Source organism: Homo sapiens, chromosome 14 (assembly GCF_000001405.40).
Source record: "Homo sapiens chromosome 14, GRCh38.p14 Primary Assembly".
NCBI classification, from domain to species: Eukaryota; Metazoa; Chordata; class Mammalia; order Primates; family Hominidae; genus Homo; species Homo sapiens.
In genome coordinates this window covers 26,554,217-26,577,762 of record NC_000014.9, presented here as the reverse complement: position 1 = coordinate 26,577,762, position 23,546 = coordinate 26,554,217, and the positions used below count along the sequence as shown (strand labels likewise).

The following is a 23,546-nucleotide window of genomic DNA, read 5'->3' as shown; positions in this document are numbered from 1 at the left end:
CCCCTCAGATCAACTTCTCTCAGTCTTCTCCATCTTAATTGCAGCTTCATCTTTTCAGGGTCTGAGGACAGAAATATTTGAGTCATCTTTACCTTCTCTCTTTCTGTTGAACTTCAGATCCAATCTGTCACAATTCTGATTATATTTAAGATACTTGCCTTAAAGGAAAGCCATATATTCAAGCCAAAAGAAGATAACAGAAACAAAAGTAAATGTTACAGAAATGCACTCTGCTATGTGTAGGCAGGTAAAGAATTAACATAAAGATATGGTTGGCTGTGAATTCAGTATTAAAACTCTGGTGAATGACAAAAAAAAGTAGCCTGTCTTAGTTACTTGGTTGACCAGACTAAGCTCACAAACTATTTACAATTTCAAAGATAATTCACTGGGAAATCTAGATTCATGTTTAATTTTGTGTTATAGGGAACCCTGTAGGAAATTTATATTTAAGAAATATCAGTATCGATATATCCATTATAGTAGCATAATTATTTTTATACCTAGGGGAATTGAGTTTTAAAGAATAAGCATGAATATGTATCATGGAATGTTATTTAACCTTAAAAAAGGAGATACAGTGCTGACGTTTGCAATAGTATGAATGCATCTGGAGTATATTATGCCAAATGAAATAAGCCAGACACAGATAGATAGGTACTGTGTGACCTTATTTGTATGTGGAATCTAGAAAAATGTAGAATACCTAGAAATGGAGAATAGAATAGTGGTTACCAGGGTGGGGAGGGGAAATGGGAAGAGTAGGTCAAAAGGTACAAACATGCAGCTATGTAGTATGAATAAGTCTAGAGATCTAATGTACAATATGAGGATATAGTTAATATTGTGTTGTATACTAAAATGTACTAAGAGAGTAGATTTTACATGCTCTTATCACACCAAAAAAGTAGCTGTGGAAAGTGATAGATAATTTATCTGACTGTAGTAATCATTTCACTATGTATATGCGTATCAAAACATCATGTTTTACACCTTAAGTATATACAATAATAAAAAAAGGAGGCAAGAGGAGTAAGAAAGTTCTGAATAATACCTGTTCATTAGATTATATAAAAATAAAATCTATCATTGTTAGAAGACACAGTTAGCTTAAAATGTATACCTTATCAGGTGGTATGTGTATATATATATACACACACACAGACACACACATTGTGAATGATAAATATATATTGAACCATTTAGAATATTGTGCTAAATCAATAATTCATCTATTTGAGGATTATACCTTAAGGAAATTATATACTTAAAAATGTATTATCAAAATGGTCAATATTTGCCTGTAAAATATTTTGAGATACTGTACATTTATGCCTGTCAGCTGGGAGTTTCCTCATTTTAGTATCCGTAAAAATTATTCTGGTTGATAGAGTTCATTTATAATCATTTCACTATGTATATGCGTATCAAAACATCATGTTTTACACCTTAAGTATATACAGTAATAAAAAAGGAAGCAAGAGGAGTAAGAAAGTTCTGAATAATACCTGTTCATCAGATTATATAAAAATAAAATCTATCATTCTTAGAAGACACAGTTAGCTTAAAATGTATACCATATCAGGTGGTATATATATATATACACACACATTGTAGATGATAAGTATATATTGAACCATTTAGAATATTGTGCTAAATCAATAATTCATCTATTTGAGGATTATACCTTAAGGAAATTATATACCTAAAAATGTATTATCAAAATGGTCAATATTTGCCTGTAAAATATTTTGAGATACTGTACATTTATGCCTGTCAGCTGCGAGTTTCCTCATTTTAGTCTCCATAAAAATTATTCTGGTTGATAGAGTTCATTTATCTGTTTTAATTTAAATCTCTTAGGCTTAACTGTACTACTTAATGTTTTTTTCATTCTGTACTCAATTATTAAAAACATTTATCTTATTTTCCACATAAGCAGAAAAAATGAGTTGTTATAGATTTAATAAAATATTTGAAATAATTATATAATAACAATTTTGACTTTTTTTCTAATCATGCATTTTATCACTATGTCTTACTGGTAAATGATATTTAATCTCTGTAAATGTTCTGCCAGAATAAGACAAAATAAATCTGTAGGCTTGTTGATATATGTGATAAAGTAGAGGAGATTTGTTTAATCACTGTTGTGAAAAAGGAAAACTGTAGTAGTTGTGGCTTCCTGGATTATAAGGACAAGAACTTGTGTATGCTTTTGATTTCATTTTTAACATTAAAATTTAAGTATATGGCTCAATATTAAAGCTTAAAATCTGTGACTTAAAACATTTTATTTTTCGTGGTTATTAATTACATAGTTATTTCTTAAATCATCCCTTAGTGTTGACTTATGGAAGATGATGTGGGTTTGCTAAAAGCTTTCTTATGTATTATTTTGGAAATATCTATATTATATTTTCACATAACTGATAGAGACAGATTTTGTGTAGATTTATCTCACTGCAAGCTCCTTTTCACCACATTGTATTATGAAGTAAAAAATTTCTTTGAAAGTACTTTCCCCAATTCTTGTTTATAAAGTTCATCACATTGGGCTAGATTATGAATGGACGTTTAGTCAGTGTCAAGCAATTTGAACTTTTATTTATCTTAAATTGAATTACATACATTTTAAAAGGACTGTCTAAATCTGCAGTTATTACATGTTAAAACCTATATTGATGTCAAAACTCCTAAACAGTAGTACGTGTTTGCAGTTTTAAGAGAATTATTTACTTATAATTTACCTAGAAGATATCCCACAATATGATTTTTTCAACATAAAAAGACAGTATAGGCTGGGCTCAGTGGCTCACGCCTGTAATCCCAGCACTTTGGGAGGCTGAGAGGCAGGAGGATTGTGGGAGACCAGGAGTTTCAGACCAGCCTGGGCAACAGAGTGAGACTCTGTCTCTACAAAAAAAAAATTTTTTTAAATTAGTGGGCATAGTGGTGTGAGCCTGTATTCCTAGCTACTCTGGAGACTGTCATAGGATGATCACATGAGCCCAGGTGTTAAGGGTGCAGTGAGCGTGATCTCACCGACGGAGCAAGACCCTATCTCTAAAACAAACAAAAAGGGTGGAGGGAGACAATATGAATGAGTAGTCCATTAACTTAAAACATTTGAAATTAAAGTTTTATGATAACACTTTAATTTTAAGTAACCACTCATTTATGCCCCTCTATTTAAAGCGGAAACCTAAAGCTATTTGTTAATAAAATACTGTTTTACATTAAGACGTCATGGGAGAGAAGGATATATGGGGAAATTAACAGAATTAAGTTATTTTAAATTAAGTATGAATGACATTTCCAAGGTAGCAGTGAATGCTTTACAATATACACTAATAATTTTATTATTTTTCCCAATTTTATGATACTCGTTTCTATTTCTGAGAATCTTTAAAAATGTGTAATCTTGGCTGGGCGTGGTGGCTCACGCCTGTAATCCCAGCACTTTGGGAGGCCGAGGGGGCGGGGGGGGGGGGGTGGATCACGAGGTCAGGAGTTCAAGACCAGCCTGGCCAAGATGGTGAAACCCCGTCTCTACTGAAAATACAAAAATTAGCCAGGCGTGGTAACAGGTGCCTGTAATCCCAGCTGCTTGGGATGCTGAGGCAGGAGAATCGCTTGAGCCCAGTTGGCAGAGGTTGCAGTGAGCTGAGATTGTGCCACTGCACTCCAGCCTGGGTGACAGAGGGAGACTCTGTCTCAAAAAAAAAAAAAAAAAAAAGTGTAATCTTTGCTTTCTTGAGCTGTTAGTATTGAAGATAAAATGTAAGATCTCATGTGGCTCAGCCTTATGTTTTTATTGTCTTGCACTTTGTGTACTTTTGCTGTGGGGTTGCTGAGCATCCTTAGATAAAGACTGAAATCAGGCCAGTTGATTCTGCTACTCAGTCTAACATATCTTTTCAGTTGAGCCAGCTCTGTTGCTGTTATCCTTTTGTTTATTTCTGATTAGCTTTACATTTTGTGCCTCTTTAAACTTTTTTCATCTTTTTCAACCCAGAAACTCACCCCAACAGATTTATACTCTGTAAATGTACTTGCTTCACAGTTTATTTAGGTCATCTTTAAGGACCTCCCTCAACTTCCTTTTATACTTCAAATTATAATTTAATTTCACCTTTAATCCTTGTCTACATATATAGAATGAGAATTCTCTATTCTTTTTAGGAATCATTTATCATGCCCCCCTTTATCTTTTTCAGATTCTTATCTCATTCTTTTGGATCTTTTAAATTTTTTCATGAGATCTTTCTCTTTGGCTTTATAATATGTTCAGTTCTTATTTTATACAAAATTACCAAAAGCTAAATCCTTTCTTTAATTCTGGTAATACCTGTGGTCACTTTCTCTCCCTTTTACATACCAACAAAATTTTTTGAAAGGGTAGTCTACTGAGTTTCTTTTTTTCTCAGCATTTTATTACTCCTGGTTATCCAACTCTTTCAGAGTTCATGGTATCTTTATTAGTTGCTTAATTAACTGAACTATCTTTTTCAGTCATGTAACCATCATCCTCTTTTAATTTTCTAAAGCATTCAATATTAGTAACTATTCTTCCTCCATTGGCTTATTTGACATTGTATGATCCAGTTTCTCTCATTATTTCTCTAACTGTACTATCTCAGACATTTTTATGGATTTCTTTTGTTTCTTGAAATCATCACGTAAATGTTAGGGTTACATTCGATTCTGTCCTTGGCCCCGTAGATCCCTTTAGCTTTAATTACTCCCTTTATGTAGATCATGCTTAAGTCATATGTTCAGCTCAAAACTGTTTTGATCTTTTGTTTTATGTACACTTTATTATATTTAATGTATTTCAAAATAAATGTGATTGTTTATACCTTACATAAAGTCTTTCTGTAAATTACCTTACCCTAAAAGTACACATAATATGTTCACATAATTTGGCATGTTACTTCTTCCACAGGTATTTGGTTATGTATCTGTATTATTTTTTTAAACGTACAGACACACATACACACACACACACACACACACACACACACACACACACACTGCGGTTCCTTATATAAGGCTGAGGTTTCAGCTTATATGATCATCCAGGAAGTCTTTGCTGATCACCTCAATCTGGTTGAGGGACCCTTCCTTTGTTCTTGTGACACATCCTATATTTTTAATGCTTCTTGTAATTACAAATCTTTTCTAGCTCACTAGACTATAAGTGCTACAAAAATGATGAAGACCATGTCACCTTTATTGACATTGTACCCTTAATACTTTTATAGGGTCTTCCACATAGTAGATGCTCAATCTGTATGTACTGCGTATATGAATAATCGAGTAGATAAATAACTCAGTGTCAAAAAATGTATTCTCTTAAATTTATAAACTTGCCTTTCTCTGTGTTTCCTGTTTTATTTATTGGCACCAGTGATTTTCAAGTTATCCAAACTGGAAAAATTGGTTAATTTTGATCTTGTTCCCTTTTCTATTCTCTGTTTATTCTATAATTGTTGCCAATTCTTGTCTGTTTTACTCACAACATGTACCTTGAATTAATCTTCCCCTTTATGTTCTTGATGTTTTCCCTAAGGTGGGTTGTTTCACTTACAACTGTACTTTATATAGACTCTACCAGAGTAGCAGAGAATAATATTGTGGTGTATTTCATAACATCCCATTCATTTTGATTATTAAACAAAAACAAACCTTTAGTACAGGGTAATATGATATATGAATCTCATATCTAATTTAAAGCTGTTCCCCATCTCAGCAATAGTCAGGCTTTGGGGCCTAAGAACTTGAAACTTGGAAGCTGTTGTAGTCTATGCTTTCACCTTCTTTATTTATATTTAAGTAGGGTTGTATAGATGATTTCTAAGATGTCTCTCTCCTCCCCCAATTCTGATTCTAGGTTTAGGGACCAGATAGAAGGAAATGGGCAAAACTTTCTTTTTACTTAACTAGGCTTGTAATAATATTCTATTGAGTTTTGATGCCTCTGTGATTTACACTGGCCATTAATGCCTTCTTCTATGTGACAGTTGTCCAAATGGTAGCTCTCTCATAGGTTGCATGCTTTACATCTGTGATGGACTCTGCTGAGGTCTTCTACTACACAGTTAAAACCTGATGTGAGATATTCTTAGTTAACTCTGTTGTAGGCCCTCTGTGTTCTAGCCACGTGGGTAGACAGTTTCCTGGGGTTGCTGGAGCCTCCTCGCTCTTGTGGACATCTTTTTTAAGGTAGGCCCATGTGACTCATATCATATGGTGCTAGAGGTAACTGCGTCATTGTCATGTCATGTGTTTTTCCTGTTATTTCTCTTTATTGTTTTTTCTGCCCACTTAGGAACAGAGAACATCGTTAAGTCTGATATCTAAGTATTAATTTAAGCCAGAGTGAAAAGATAGTATCTTCTCGTGAGTACTCTCAGTATATAGGAATCATGCTCTTGGCTTGCAGCACCTTAGGGGAGGAATACTTCCAAAAGAGACTGGCTGGCCTCAATTTTTTTTCAGTTCTTTTTAGAACGTGAGGACACTTAATTCCTCCTTTTTCTCTTTTCTGGGTCCTAGTTTCTAAATCCTAGGTAACAGGAAAAGTGTCATTAAACATCATATATATATATATATTTTAATCCATATTATTTAATTCAAAATATTTTAATCCATATTATTTAACCTGTAAACCAAAGTAACACATCACCAATTATTGCTCTTCACCAGCCTTTGTAAGTGAAGTCTGTGGATTCATAGTAAAGAGAGAACAGACTTTGTGATTCTTGCAGCTGTGCATGTATGTGAACAGTGGGTTAAACGAGAAAAAATACTTTTCTTAGACCTATTTATAATATATGAAAGAAACATTTCATAGAATTTTGGAAAATTAAACAAAGGGAAATATAACAGATATACCTTAAACTTAATAGAGTAAAGGTTGGTTTGGAATACTTTATTAGGGGTGAATTATCTGTGTAATATAAAATTTATGGAAGATTCTGCTTCAGCATATTACAGTATTATAGCAGTGCTTCATGACCTATTAAAAGATAATTCAGGAAATGATTGACCTACCAGAGTAGTTTATGTGTTGTTTTAGGAACAATTGCCTTCTGCAACTTTTATCTATTGGTTTTAAATATATGCATATATACATGTGTGTATACATATACATATGTATACACATACAGTACACATACACATATGTATACACATACACATATACAAATGTGTTATATAGATGCTAGATAACCCTTTTTGTTTTCTCCTTAATCTGTTCACATGAGATATTCATATTGACAACTGCAATTTTGCCATTGATGGGATTTTTAATACTATAACCACAGCAGTTGAGGATGGATTACTTTGTTCAGTTGAGTTTTTTTTTTTTAATTTCATAGTTTATACATTTTATTTATTCATTTATTTTCTGAGTTGGAGTCTCACTCCGTTGCCCAGGCTGGAGTGCAGTGGCGCGATCATGGCTCACTGCAACCTCTGCCTCCCAGGTTCAAGCTGTTTTCCTGACTCAGCCTCTCAAGTATCTGGGATGACAGGTGCCCACCACCACTGCCGGCTAATTTTTGTATTTTTAGTAGAGACAGGGTTTCACCATGTTGGCCAGGCTGATCTCGAACGCCTGACCTCAGGTGATCTGCCTGCTTCTGCTTCCCAAGGTATTGGGATTACAGGCATGAGACACTGCATCCGGCCTTAGTTTATACTTTTATTTGAATAAGCAGATGGTTTCCTTCTATTAACTTTCTTAGCATTTACTTTTAGAGACCCTTTAAGGCAAAGAGCCAGAAATGGAAGATACAGAATTATCATCTAGCAAAAGCACTGACCCCTTGTTTAAGAATGCATTGAATCAGAACTTCAAAATTATTTAGGTTTTGTTTTATTTATGATAGTGAAAGTGAAGATCATAATATAAACTAAGGAATAGTATGCTGTTGAAGAAGTAAAGATTTGAAAGAAGCTAGCACTGATTCTTTTCAACTAGAAATTTGTTTTAGACTGTGCTCTCAAGTTTATAGAAGTTGAAATTGGGTGTGATTATTTGTCAATAATGGGCCACTTTTGCTTCTTTGATTATGCCACTTTGAAGTTTTTGATAAATTGTATATATAGATCTAAGGATTACCTAATTGCTTTCTGTGGTAAACAGAATTTTCTAGATAAAGCAAGTAAGATTTCAAGAAACATGTAATTTTAAAAAATTACATTGGAAACTTTTCTTAACGTATCATTCACATCTACTTCTTTGTTTTTGTTAATATTTTAATGGTCTGGTTTGTTGCCAAGAAATATTTAATAAGCCACAGATAAATGCATATTGTAAATCAGATTTTTAAATAATTCAAATTTGCTGCTCCTATTTAATCAAAATGTTTGTGTTTTGAGGAGGAAAATGGGAAATAAATGAATTAAAATACATTATGATATTCTGTATTCAAAATACTTTACAAGGTTCATTAATTGCAGTTATATTTTTTAAATCTAGAAGTGCTGTTTGACCCTTTCTCGGATTTTTTTTACTGTAAATGTTCAAACCTCTTATGAAATGTGTTAAGAATACTTATTTTAAAATACTCTATCTGACAGTTCTGCTCTGTGTTGTTTCTGCTGGTTCTCACTCTTGCCACCATGCTTCCTTGTGTGTTTGGTGAATGTTTGTTAAGTTTTCTTAGCAATTTACCTGAGGGAATTTTTTGAATCCTAGGATAAAGGTGGTTTCCTTCAGAGTGGCTTGGCTTTGCGTTTAGTTGTCATTTATAGTTGGGAACAACTTGAATCTAAATTCTTGGCTTGAGATTATTTTAACCACCAGGTATGAATTCATGCTGAAAATCTGCTTGAAGGCAAACTTGGGGTTATGAATTCCCAGATAATTTTTTCCTGCCTTCTAAGTGCATGTTAGGAATTGTCAGAGGATCAGGGCGTATTTTACTCTTACAATGACAGCATAGCTGGTTAAAGTTAGTATTTACTGGGGATTCTCATCAGGCTGCCCACCTGGAACAGGAAGTTCAATAGACAAAAGATCATATTACCTTGGTTTATCAAAAGACTTCAAGGTAAATGTCCCCTTACATGCTCTAGTTGCTCTTCCAGGTTCCTGCATTTATTTAGGTTTTATTAGTTTCTGGTCAGCTAACAGATGCCATTGAAGAATGTGTTTTTAATATTTTTCTGTGACATAGTTGTTTCAGGCAGGAGAATTGGCTGGGTTTCCTTGCTTATACTGTCAGACATAAAAAAGCATGTTAGGTTTTTTGTTTGTTTACAAAATTTTCTTATTTTCCCCAGCTACCCTGGAAATATATACGTCTATTATAACCATTTCAGAAATAAGGTAAGCTGACCAAAATCATGCAGTTGGTGAAAAGGTTGATGTGTACTCAAGTCTGTCTGACTCCAGAGTCCATGCTGTACATTGTATAGCACTGCCTCTATGGGGTTTAAATTCTTCTCTCATAAATACTTGAGTTCCCGGGTAGTGTTCATTTTGTATATGAATGACTGTGTATATAAAGAAATGGAATTCTAGGTTACTACCTGATAGGAATTTTGAGAAAGAAGATCTAATAACAGTTACTACATTGTAAAGAGTAGTTAGCAATATGTGTTAAAAACCTACTGTAAAACATTTTCTGTTTTACCTAAATCTCTCTTATTATCTTAATATATTGGCCTACCTTTTCCCAAGATCCCAGCAGTTCCCAAGATTCCCTTTTCATTGTTATCTTTTCCTTGATTTTATCCTTTATCAGTCCTATCAGTATTTTTGTTTGGTTGGGAGGTATCACACAGTAAATATCAAGAAACTCTTCAGATGTTTTAAATACAGGCAGAAATGACTGTAATATTGGTTAAGCTTTGTAAAGGTGCAGCAGTTCAGAGAGCTTTGTTGATAACCAAATGGAAAAACTATTTTTTAAAAGCATAACTAGTTTATCTTGAGCAATAAAAAAGTTGCTTAAAATGTTATCAGATCGTTAGCATATTGAGATGACTATTTCAGATTTAATGTATTTGAGGAAATGGAAAGTTAATGAAGCAGAAGACTAGAAATGAAACAGGTGCAGAAGAATAACTATATGAAAAATGGAGGTGATATTATTGTTCTCCAGATTGGGATGCTCTAACCACTGTCAAACTATTTAAATCAAGTAAGACAGTCGGGTACAGTGACTCATGCCTATAATTCCAGCAATTTGAGAGCTTGAGGCAGGAGGATCGCTTGAGTCCAGGAGTTCGAGACCAGCCTGGGTAACATAGCAAGACCTTGTCTCTACAAAAAATAAACAGAATTATTTGGTGAGGTCACGCGTGCCTGTAGTCCCAGCTACTTGGGAGGCTGAGGTAGGGGAATCGTTTGAGCCCAGGAGGTCGGGGCTGCAGTGAGCCAAGATTGCGCCACTGCATTCCAGCTTGGGTGACAGAGCAAAACCCTGTCTCAAAAAAAAAAAAAAAAAAAAAAATTAAACAAGACACTTAAATGTTATAGGATAATACATATAACAGAAACTATAAATTTTTCTGAAGGCAGTTTTTATGAATTACAATTAAATTTGATTATACTCTACATTATTTTTATAGGATTTAAAAATTTAAACCCAAAGTATATGCTTTAATATATTGGTTTTTGGATTATAATTTGGCATCATTTTGCACAGTTTTTAGGGAAAGGTGAGTTTGATTGAAGGCAAGTGTTTTTATGGAAAATGAAAGTTATTTCTTCCATTTTCATGTTTTTTATGTGCTCATCCTATGTAAAAGGTATTTCCAAGTAGTTTTGAAGATATTAACGGTATTCCCAGCTTCTAGCTTTTTGCAGGGGAGGGGGAGAAAAATTGAATGTTTGTCTAAGGATTGATTTCTTAAGGAAGATTTTAAAAAGTAGCATTTAGCCTTTTAAAAATGGGTAAATGCATTTATTTTTGCTGTGTTCTAACATAGTAATATGTTTTCCTTATAATGATGACTTCCGTTTTTCCACAATTTTTATTGATGACAGAAATTGCCATTGTCAACAAGAAATGCCAAGTGAGAAAGAAGATTATGGTGGGTTCTGTTTCTTAGCACATGTTATTTTACTTTTAGTTTTACAATTTTTGCATCTGTAGCCTTGGCCATATTATGGGATTTATCGCCTTATTAGTTGAGAGGTAGGCTAATAGATGATAAGGAAGATGTAGTGAAATAGTAATAATGATAATAATAATAGTTAACTAATGAACATTTACTATTTTCAAAGCCATATTCAACACACTGTGTATATGTTATTTACTTCTTTCAAAAACTTTATGAAGAAGGATGTATTCTTAAAGATAGACAACTGAAGCACAAAAAATTAAATCACTTTCCAAGGTACTCACTTACAATCATTGGAGCCAAACTAGTATATATGTATATATGTATATAAATATACTCTGTGTATGCTTGATTATTAATGGTAACTATTATTTTGATGACAATAAATTAAAACGAATTTGAAGTTAGTGATAAGTTAGTTTTGTTAATAGCGTTAAATAAGTATGACATTTCCTTAGAAATTGTGACTGGTGTTATGTACGATATCTTTTAGTAACCTTGAACGGTGCTTGAACTCTTTTGTCATTGCATTTCTAAGATTTTGCTAAGCTGTTATGTTATGCATTCCTTATAGCATTTTATAGTCTTTTATTTTACAACGACTCTGAAGGAATATTTCATCATTCATATAATTTTAGTATCCAAATTATATTTTCATCCCTTTGTTTGCCATGAAACATACTCCTGCCTATCTTTCAATTGCATCATGTTCTCTTTCTTTCTCCTCATTTAAATACCCTTAAAACAAACATAGATCACTTTTCTGAATCATTATATTTTTTTCTGTATGAAAGCCCATTTTGTAAAGTATTTATTTAAGAACGCCATTCAGTTTGCATTCTCTTGCTTTTTTCTTTTGTCACATTTTCAGCACTAATCAAGGATTAAAGAAGATTAAAAAGAAAACTAATAAATGAGAGAATGTGGTGGTACTGGTGTTAGCTTATCCATTTGTTGGTGATTTGCTTGTATTTTATGTAATTAGTTTGATTCCACACAATATCATTTAGTCTATAGTATGGCACAGTGCTAATGGCTAGATTACAAAAATAAGTGAACCATGGTCCATCTTTTTCTTGTCTATCAAGTTTGTTGCCACTTTTTGGCTGTCATATCACACCGAATTTTTTGTCTTTTTACGTGGAAGCCAAGAAATGACAGACTGCATACACAAAAAACGAAAAATGGTGAAAGAAAAGGAAAGAGAGTGGTGGACTGTAGAATTAGGGAATACACTGGGACAGCAGTGGGTACAAGAGAACAGAAGAGTCATCTGAGGGACACGAAAGAATGTCTTTATGACTTTGAAGGATGGGATGGGCGATAGACTTCTAGGCACTGTGAGATACCAGAAATCCATTAAGTCATAGGATAATTCCACAGGGTCTCTTTTGGGGGCTGATGATAACTCAAATACCTACCTGTATTTCAAAAAGGGTAACATTTTGTTCTTACAAAACTGCAGGAGTATAAAAGTACAGTGAGTGTAGATAGGAAGTGAAGTCAAGCAGCTATTGTGTTTTTCTTTCTGAGACGAAGACCAACTACAAAAGTGAATTCTCTCAGCATGGTCTTTTTCAAATTTACAGGACTCCTGTTGACTTCAATAGCTCTTAAGTTTTATCTTGTACTCTCTACACCTGTAGCTACTTTCCCACACAGAGTCATTACTGCTCATCATGGTGATGAACCAGATTCATCAAGATATGTTTGAATTGTATTCATTACATTTTAAGAAGTTAGGTATATGTGTGATACATTTTAGAAAGATTTCCACAAATGTATTTAAACTTTGGGTAGAGTACTTAAAGGTTTAAGTGTATCTTTTTATCTCACAGAAACACTAAATGAGACTTACCAGTTGGACATAGTTTTACAACTAAAAAAGTCCTTAACCATATTGTTTATATATTATATAGTAAAATAGGGTTGGTTATTGCCAATTTCAAAGGTTTTGAAGTGAGGCAGAACTGGGTTTGAATTTCTGTCTTGTCTCTTGCAAACTCTGTGAATTTTGTACAAGTTCCTTGATCTCTGTTTTACAATTTCCTGATATAAAAATGGATATGTTAATTTGTCTATCGCGAGGAGCAGTAACTAGTGATGGTGTATGTAAAACCTTTAACAGTACTGTATAATATTTAAAAACTCAGTTTCTGGAGCCTTCTGCCACTTAGTATCCACATGAACTCCAGCAAGCTACTTAACCTGTGTTTCTGCCCCTTAGTATCCACATGAACTCCAGCAAGCCAGTTAACCTGTGCTTCCATTTTTTCATGTGTAAAGTAGGGATAATAACTGTACCCACCTCATGGGATTGTTGTGAGGACTGAATTAATACATATGTATAAAGCAATTGGAATAGTGCCTGATGCGTTGTAAGTGCTATTATGCTGTTAGTACCGTTAGCTACAAGTTCATCAAATCTGAAGTACCATGGTTTGTAAGATCCACAATTTTTATGAAATGGTGAAGTTATGTACGTCAGGCCCTATGAGGTCCTGAAGTGTTTTCCAGATAATTAAAGACAATATGTTGTGTTCAATAGGTTTATAATACATATAGTAGAGCAAAACACTAAAGACCATGGGTTCTGGAACTAAATTGCCAGGGTTAAAATTTCCACTCCCACTTATTAACTTGTCTTGCTATACACACTTTATTTTCTCATCTGTAAAATGATGAAAATAATAGTGCATACATCACAGAGTTGAAGTTTATATGTAAGACTAGAAGAAACTAGTTCAGATACAACCTGAAAACCACCGGATGAAGGCTTTTTTAGGTCTAAAGTTATTTGAGTTTTTTGTATATAAACAGAATAAATCTCTGAAAACGCTCATAAAGCCCATACTTGGGCTTAGGCTAGAGCTTATACTGTTTCTCCAGTGCTAGATCCTCTATTTCCTGAATCCAATGCTTGCTTTTACTTTTTTTAATCCTTTGTTTTATAGAAATATATTTTTCACATGCATCCTAACAAAGGAGTCATAGAAGCTTGCATAGTTGAATATGTCATCATTCTCACATTTAATTGAATATAAGCTTATGTATATAATTGTAGGCTGAAAATAATTTTGCCTCAGAATTATGAAGGCATTCTGTTCTGTTCTCTCATTTTACTATTCTGTATCACTGATCATAGGGCTATGTTGATCTGGATTTGTCTTCTGATTTTCTTATTTTCCTTCTCTTTTTTCATTAAAAAAATCTTAAAATTGTAGTTATTCAGGGACTTACTAAACTTTTTCTTTCATTGAATGTTTCAGTTATTTTCATTTTCTAAAAGTTCTTACTGTTTCTCTGATTTTTTACTTCCCCTGCCCCCATTATTACTGTTTTTTTTTTTTAATGTGACATATTGTTCTTATTTTGTGGTTGTAACCATCAGTTCTAATGTCTGTGAAGATGTTAATTGTTTTGCCTTAAGGTTGCTTCTGCTCTTTGTATTGTATTTCCTCTGAGTTTCCTTCCTTCCTTCCTTCCTTCTTTCTTTCTTCTGGTTTTAGTCTTTTGTGTTGGAGACGTTTTGTCAAAGCTTTGGCTTAATGTGGTGCTACATATTTGGTTGAAAGCTGTGTGTCTGCTAGCAAGACTTGTTGCTTAGATAGCTTCATTAGTGTGATCATGCAAAAAGCTAGGGATTCTGTATGACGGTAGCTATATGTCTGTTATCTGAGTTCTTAAACTTTCACTACTGGATTTTCAGATATTCTTTCTGCATGGTGTATATCTGCCTGCCAATATTTAGGAACCGCTTCTGTCCATTTTAACCTTGTCCCTTGACTCCTCTCTGTTTTGCCTGGTAGTTGTAGTTCAGGAACATTTCTGGGTCAAGATACCTAATATTCTGAACTTCAAGGGGGAGAAAAGAAGAGAATATGTAAAGTAGGGTAGTAAACCTATGTGCCAAAATGTTCTGTATATAGATTTTTAGAGTTCCCTCAGTATTCAGCGCTAACATTATCGCTGTCTTTCTGGGGTTTCATTAGGCAAATTATCTTGCTGTTGATATTAGCATTCTCTGTTACCTAGTTTTCAGCTTCCTCTCTGTGCAGAGTGTGTTCCTAGTTATTCTGCTTCAATTTTTCATTTTCCAAAACGATGTTGAATTTCTTGTTTGCTGTTGTTTCCCTCACCCTTCTCCTTGTCTTTCTGCTTTTATACTATTTTGCCATTTTAGTGATGTTTCAGAAGGGAGTGGAGTTTAATATGTGTGCTCATCTGCCATACTTAGCAGCAAAAACAACAGCTAGCTAGCATTTGTGGAGTGCCTTACTATATGCTAGACTTTTTCTAAGTGCTTTTGTATAGATTTTCATTTGATACTCAAACCAATCCCATTAAACGCATACTACTGTTATCCTTATTATACAAATGAGGAAGCAGAATAAGTAACTGACCAATTTCACAGGGCTAGTAAGTGACAGAAAGATTTGAATCCAGGAACTGCTTGTGGAACCTGAGGTCTTGATACTTTTAGTTTATTAATATGGACCAGAAGCCTACAATACATACTTCTTTAGACATCTGAGTTACTTAAACTAATATGACACCTTAAAAATGACTTCCAATAAGGCAAGTCACTAGATTTTCATATAACCAAAACAAAAACCTAGCAGCTTATAAATATTCAGCATACACAAATACATGGAAATTATAACTTATAGAGTGAAGAGTAATTTTTCTGGTAACAGAACAAAACTTTAATATAAACGATTATCACTTAACACCATTCTCCTAAATATTTTTTTAAAAGAATTGGCATTTACTGACTGAACTAGGACATAGTGTTCTAACACACTAGGAATGATTAAAATCAGAAAACTAATATGTTTTAGTTGATCTTAGAATTTTTTTTGTTTAAAAATTTGAGAGTAGGAGAAATATAATATTTGTTTAGAAGTATTAAACATTATAAATAGACAAAACTTTTATTTCTTTAAGAAACATTCTAGCCAAATACTTGAAATTTAAAATATAAATTTAGTTATAATTTGTGTCATTTTACCAGTTTAAAAAAACTATGTTCAATACAGTTTGTTTTATGATAATAGTAAGTCACCTCTGTTTTGTGTAATTTTTCTATTCTTCTCTTTCCTTAGTGTAGATAGAAACCTATTGCCTTCCTGCTGAGGATATAATTTCTGAATCTAGACGATGTGCTGTCAGCACAGTGAAGCAGGAAATTATTCTCCTGTGTCAGCTGCTGCTGTTAAAGAATAAAGAAGTTTTGTGATAGGATGCATTTCTGTTACCTCTACTCACAAATCTTATATGACATGCAAATAGATTTCAAAATCAAGAGAGTTCAAAGTATTTAGTAACAAAAGATCTAAAAATTCCAAGTGTATTTTAAAATGCTGTGCTTTTTATGTTTCAATGTTAGTAGTCCTCAAACTTATTCAGCTTATTCAAGTAATAGGGCAGGGGTCCCTAACCCTGCTCTGGTCCGGTCTGTGGCCTGCTAAGAACTGGGCCACACAGCAGGAGGTGAGCTGTGGGGCCAGCTAGCATTACCACCTGAGCTCCGCCTCCTGTCAGATCAGCAGTGGCGTTAGAATCTCATAGGACGGAAACCCTATCATGAACTGAGCACGCGAAGGATCTAGGTTGCACACTCCTTATGAGAATCCAACTAATGCCTGATGTTCTGAGGTAGAACAGTTTCATCCCAAAACCATCCCCCCACCCTGTACCATGTTGTCTTCTGCTGTAATAGAGCATTTGGAAATTATATTCTTCAGGACACTGGACATGTTAGTATATTAAATTCAACATTGGTTAAAGCAGCAGCAGTAATAATAATAGTTATATGAAATTTACTGTGAGCCAGAGATGGTTAAAACTACATGCTTTTCATGTATCAGCTGAATTAGTTCACAATAAATATATGAGGAAAAGATGGCACAAAGATTAATTTGCCCACATTGTGTGTGTGTATTCCTTTTTATATGTAAATGTGTGTGTATGGTATGTATATATGTTTATGTGTGTAAATATATATATTTCTAATATCTATGCAATTAGAGTCAGGGATGAGATTTCCTTACATTCCATCCCCAAAGTCTGTCCTTACAACTACCACGTTAGGCTAATAGAATTTTATACAAAATCTGATAGATTCTATTATAGTATAGGCAACTGGTGGGAGTTATCACATATTGAAAATTAGATAAAAATCTCAAAACGAGGCAATTTTATCCCTTAAGCTAATTCTTCTATTAATTGAGGAAGTCTGCTGTTACTTGATTTTTATCCCCAAAAGCCTCAGGAAATTATAGAACACCACTTTGACAGTTTCTTTATGTGACATAGACAGAAAGTAAATTTATATTTTCTTATTCAATAAAGGCTTCATTTTACTAAATTTATACAATTACTGATTTCAGTAACACATTTCCACAACTTTGTGGTAGATCAACTATAATCTTTTTCCTTTGAGAAAATTATTTAAAGACATGTATTATTAAATATGACAAATCATAGACATTTTTTTAAAGAGTGCTAAAAAATTCATGTACCTTTCAGGCATCCTTAAAGTAGGGAGATAGTCTTAGAGTCATGATATCAGTTTGGTGTGTGATCTGTCTTTAAACATTATATTTTAATTGATATATAGTAGATGTGCATATTTACAAATTATACAAAATGTATTAAATTACAATAATTTATTACAATAATTTAATACATACAATGTAATATATTACAATAATTTAATACATTTTGTATAATTTGTAAAGATCATATCAGTGTAATTAGGATATTCACCTCCTTAAATATTTATCTTTCTTTATGCTAGAAATATTCAAACTATTCTTTTGTAATTAGTTTGAAATATACAAAAGGTTACTAAAGTCACTCTACTGATGTATCAAACACTATCAAACTGTATATTTGTACCCATTAATCAACCTCTTTTTATCCCTCCACTCAACCCTTCCCAGCCTCTGATAACCAGCAGTCTACTCTCTGTCTTCATGAGATCCACGGTTGTAGCTCTCACATATGAGTGAGAACATGCAATATTTGTTTTTTCTGTGCTTGGCTTATTTCACTTACCATAATGACTACCAGTTCTATCCATGTTGCTGCAAATGACAGGATTTCATTCTTTGTTATTGTTGAATAAACTTCCATGTGTATGTGGTATAGAATCTATCTTGAATATCATTCATTGATATTTGTATTTGTAAATGTCAACAGCAATTAATAATAAGAGGATCTCATATAAAAAAACCTGTCTACATCATTTTAGAATGGCATTAACCTTTACAGTTATCCCATTTTTATAAATGGTGGTTAAATAACATTCTCAGAATTATACTAACCAGTATTCAATAAATGATGACGGTAAGAATAAATTCCACATTTGTTGGATTCCCAAACGGACTTTAACGAGACTCTTTAATGTGGCTACCAGTATATTTTATATTTTTCTAAACTTGATTACTATTTCTCTTTTTAGGAAAGATGCATTATAGCCATAGAAGTGACAAAGGAAAATTAAATAGGAACATTATATACAGTAGTGATCGTACCAGGAGTATGGATGAATCTACATGCTTCAGAGAAATAATCGCAACTTTTTTTTTAACTTTAAAGGGTAGAAAACTACTACTTTCTTGTTGAAAATTTATCTCAAAGTTAATATAAAATGATCTTCTCCCTATAAGTTTTCTTTTGCATCCAAGCGAGGTGCATGATATGTAGGCAAGGAGGGGAAATTATCCTTGTGTTCTTCTAATCAGAAGTGTTCTGTTTTACTTTGCTCAAACAATATTACCTTATTCCATCCTAATATAATTATGTAGGCTAGAGTATTTTAGAATGATATAAGTATGGTTTGAATATTTTTAAAAATATAACCTTATGTATCAATATTGTTATGTCTAAGGCATTATCTGGCTTTCTGAAATGAAAATAGTATTTTGTTAAATGTTGCAAAATGACCTGTCTAAACCATTTTTAAAAATAACTTTCCTATATAGAAATTATACTTTTATTGAGTTTTATGTCATAGTTTGTCATAGAGTATGTCATGGATTATTGACTATTACTGAGAAAACAGTATTTTTGCACTTTAATTTTTTAGTTTACTTCTATTTCCATGTAATTATCCTAAATCCTTTGCTTCCTGACCTTCTTAGTAGAAGAGCTACTTTTCTTTAATTAATGGACTGTTTTTTAGAGCAGTTTTAAGTTTACAGAAAAAATTGAGCAGAAAGTCCAAAGTGTTGCCATGTATTTCTTTTTGCCCCAACTCCCTCTGCTCCTAACACAGTTTTTCTTACTATTAACAACTTATTATTAACTACTTTGTTTAGCCATCCACCTGTGTTGAAGGACATCTTTACTTCCAAGTTTGGACAATTAGTGTGGTACAGTTGGTACAATTGATGAGCCAAAATGGAGATATTCTTATTAACTGAAGTCTATAATGTATCTTGGGATTCATTCATTACGTTGTACATTTTTATATGTTTTCATATATATATATATAAGATTTGTAAAAAGAAAACCTCCCTGTTTTCTACCTGTCCATTTCCCCTTTTTTCCCTCCGAGGCACCCTTGGTAACCACTGACATTTACTGTCTCTATAGTTTTGCCTTTTCCAGATCATCATTTAATTGGAATCATACAGTAGGCAGCCTTTTTAGATTGACCTTTTTTTTTTTTTCATTTAACAAGATGCGTTTAAGGTTCCTCTTTGTCTTTTTATGGCATGTTAGCTCATGTCTTTTAATCGTGAAATAATATTCCATTGTATGGATGTATCACTGTTTTTTTATCCATCCACCTGTATTGTAGGGCATCTTTGCTTCCATGTTTGAACAGTCATTAATAAAGCTGCTGTAAACTTTTGTGTGCAAGTTTTCGTGTAGGCATATGTTTTTAATTAATTTTTTGTAAATACCAAGGAGCATGATTGCTGTATTGTATGTTAAAAGTATGCTTAGTTTTGTAAGAAACAGTTAAACTGTCTTCCAAAATGGCTGTAGTGGGCTGAGCATGGTGGCTCATGCCTGTAATCCCAGCACTTTGGGAGGCAGAGGTTGGCAGATAGCTTGAGCTCAGGAGTCCAGGACTAGCCTGGGCATCATGGCGAAACCCCGTCTCCACAGAAAATACAAAAAAAAAAAAAAAATTAGCCAGTCATGGTAGCATGTGCCTGTAGTCCCTGCTACTTGGGAGGCTGAGGTGGGAGGATTGCTTGTGACCGGGAGGATGTCGAGGCTGCAGTGAGCAGCCTGCACTCAAGCCTGGGCAACAAGGAGAGACTGTCACAAAAATCAAAATGGCTCTACTATTTTGCATTCCCACCAGCAATTTCCTTCTGTTGTTCCGCAACCTCCCCAACATATGGTGATGTCAGCGTTTTGGATTTTAGCTGTTCTAATAGGTGTGTAATATGGTATCTTATTGTTGTTTTAATTTTCACTTCCCTAAGGAGATACTATGTCCCCACAAAATTGATGTGTTAAAGTCTTAAACCCCAGTACCTCAGAATGTGACCTTATTTGGAGATGTAATCAAGTTAAGGGAAGGTTATTGCAGTAAGTTTGAATCCATTATGACTGGTATCCTTATAAGAGGAGAAATGTGTACAGAGATGTGCATGCAGAGAGAATGCCATGGGAATATGGGCTGCCATCTACAAGCCAAGGAGAGAGGCTTGGAAAGATACATCCTCAAAAGAAATCACCCCTGACAACACCTTATTCCCTCTTACAACCTCCAGTACTTAAGCCACCCAGTTTGTAGTACTTTGTTATAACAGTCCTGATATACATAAGATATTGAGCATCTTTTCGTACGCTTTTTTGACATCATTTTATCTGTTTAATGAGGTGTCTTTTCAGACCTTTTGTCCGTCTTTTCTAATTGTTGAATTGTGAGTGCTTTTTTGATATTTTAGATACTAGTACTTTATGAGGTATGTGTTTTTCCCTATCTGTGGCTTACCTTTTCATTTTCTTAATAGTGTTTTCCACAGAGCAGAAGTTTTAATTTTAATGAAGTCCGGCTGATCAATTTTGTTCTTACATGGATCTGCTTTTGGTGTATCTAAAACATCATTATCAAGCACAAGGTCACCCTGATTTTATCCTATGTTATCTTCTAGGAGTTGTAGAGTTTTATCTTTGGTGTATTTTGAGTTAATTTTTGTGAAAGGTTTATGATTTGTATTTAGATTAGTTTTTTATTTTATTTTTTATTTTTTGGCATGTGGATGTCGAGTTGTTCCAACACTATTTGCTGAAACAAACTATCATTGCGGTATTGAATTACCTCCTCTCTTTAGTGAAAAATCAGTTGACTATGTTGATGTGGGTTTGTTTCTGGGCTTTCTTTATTTCTGTTCTGTCCATTGATCAAGTTGTCTGTTATTTTACCAGTACCACATTGTCTTGATTACTATTGTTTTGTAAAGTTTTGAGTTGGATAGTGTCAGTCTTCTAGCTTTGTTCTTTTCCTTTAATATTCTGGGCCTTTTGCTTTTTTTGTATAAATCTTTAGAATCAGTTAATTGATATCTGCCAAATAACTCACTGGACTTTTGATGGGTATTGCATTGCATCTATAGATCAAGTAGGGAAGATCTGACATGTTAACAACAGTGAGTCTTCCTCTCTGAGTACATGAAATAGGTCATTTACTTAGATTGTCTTTGATTTCTTTCATTGGAATATTGTGGTTCTTCTCACATAGCACATGAACATATTTTGTTAGTTTTATATTGAACTTTTTCTATTTTTTTGGTGTTAGAACAACCACTTTTTGCACAATTGTAAGAAACGTTAACATAAGTCTTAGAACTAGCCCCAATAATTGTGTGATAACAAATTACGGTAGCAGATTATTTATTCCTGGTTGACATAAGTGATAACTGTTGTTGAATTAAATATTACTTATGCTAGAAAAGCTTAGAGGTATTTCATCACAACTTGATTGTTTTCAAGTTATGTAGGTTGATATTATTAACTAACAGTGAATTAACGTGTTAGTTTGGATGAATTGAGTTTCCATGATTTTTCTTACACTTTAAAATTTACTTGTAACTGATATTTCTTTCTACATCCTGTGAGAAAGTAGAGTAGAAAAAACGTATAAATTTAGAACTTAGTTTTGTAATTTTTGACTCACACTTTCTCTTCAGTGTGTTGTACCTCTGAGAAGGAATGACTGATAAAATATGTGTTGAATATACATGTCATAATTTAGGATGATGAGTGATTGTTAAATGAATGAGAACATTACATGAACAGTTATAAACATCAATGTAATAGGATTCTGTATTCTCAAAAGTGTGACATTTAAAAAGAGACAAGGCCATGCATAATTTAATCATGTAAAATACTGATACCTTAATTTATTTAAAAGGAATTGCCTGATTTTTAAGAGAATGCCCATTAAATTTTAATTTAACTATTAAATGCCTGGAGAGAGCATGATTCCATTTAGGGGAAGATTCTGTTATTAAACTATAAGTCAGAGCAAAGTATTCTCTACAATTGTATTTTAGGTTACTGCAACATGAATATTGAAAGTGTTCCTATAAAACAAGAATCCATCTAAACTCTTTTTTCTTTCTTTTTTAGTCTTTCCTTCTGTAGAGCCTTTTTGATCTACAAGCTTCTAAGTTTGGTGTCTTATTTAGGAGATATTATGTTTTAGCTTCTGTAAAACCTAGTATTTTCTACAAATGCACGAAACATATTCATGTTATTTAATTGCTTAATATTACTGTTTACAAATAGACAAATATTTCTGTAGCTTTTATACGCAAGGAAAACGCTAAGAAATCTCCACAAAATAGCCATAGTTAGGTAATTGCTGGTTGTTCCTAAGAATAATAAATAAGAATGTGGTAATTTAGGTATTCAGCCTAGTATTCATAGAATGTTTTAGAGAAATGAATAGTCAAAATCACTACCTCATTGGTACTAACCATTTTATAATACAGTATGAATTGGGATGGTGAATTAAGTGGGAATGGGAACATGGAGTGGTTTTATTTTTCTCCAGTGTGACCTTTTTTGTTTATGATTAGTCAAATCACTCTTTTTTGTTTCTTTTACTCATCTCAAGATGATGTCATAGATTTCTGAGCACTTCAATTTAATCTGACTTTAATGTAGTAAAGTCAGTTTAACTTGAATTTAACCTCATAGCCAACCTATAACTCAATTTCTCTTCTTTCAGTCAATATGACTTGGACTTTTCTAGGAGATTATAGAGTGTTGGAAGAGGTTGAAGTCTAGTCATTCTCTTTGCTCAATCCAGTGAGTGGAGAATGATCTGTTTTGTTTTGTTTTTTTTTCTCATATACCTATTTCTCCTCCTGTGTGCTGATGAAGTAAGGGGAAAGGTGGAAAGGGAAAAGGCTTTCTTATGTAAGTAGTACCTTTTGTTCCCTTTTTTTCTGTTTGTGCTCCACTGCCTCACACTGACTAGT

The 23,546-nt window shown here is 33.3% G+C and overlaps 1 protein-coding gene across 12 annotated transcripts in view; it reads left to right on the top strand.

Annotated features, from left to right (window-relative positions):
* The window catches only part of NOVA1 (NOVA alternative splicing regulator 1), a 154,944-nt gene that overhangs the window by 20,271 nt on the left and 111,127 nt on the right, over positions 1–23,546 (top strand). The window lies entirely within an intron of this gene.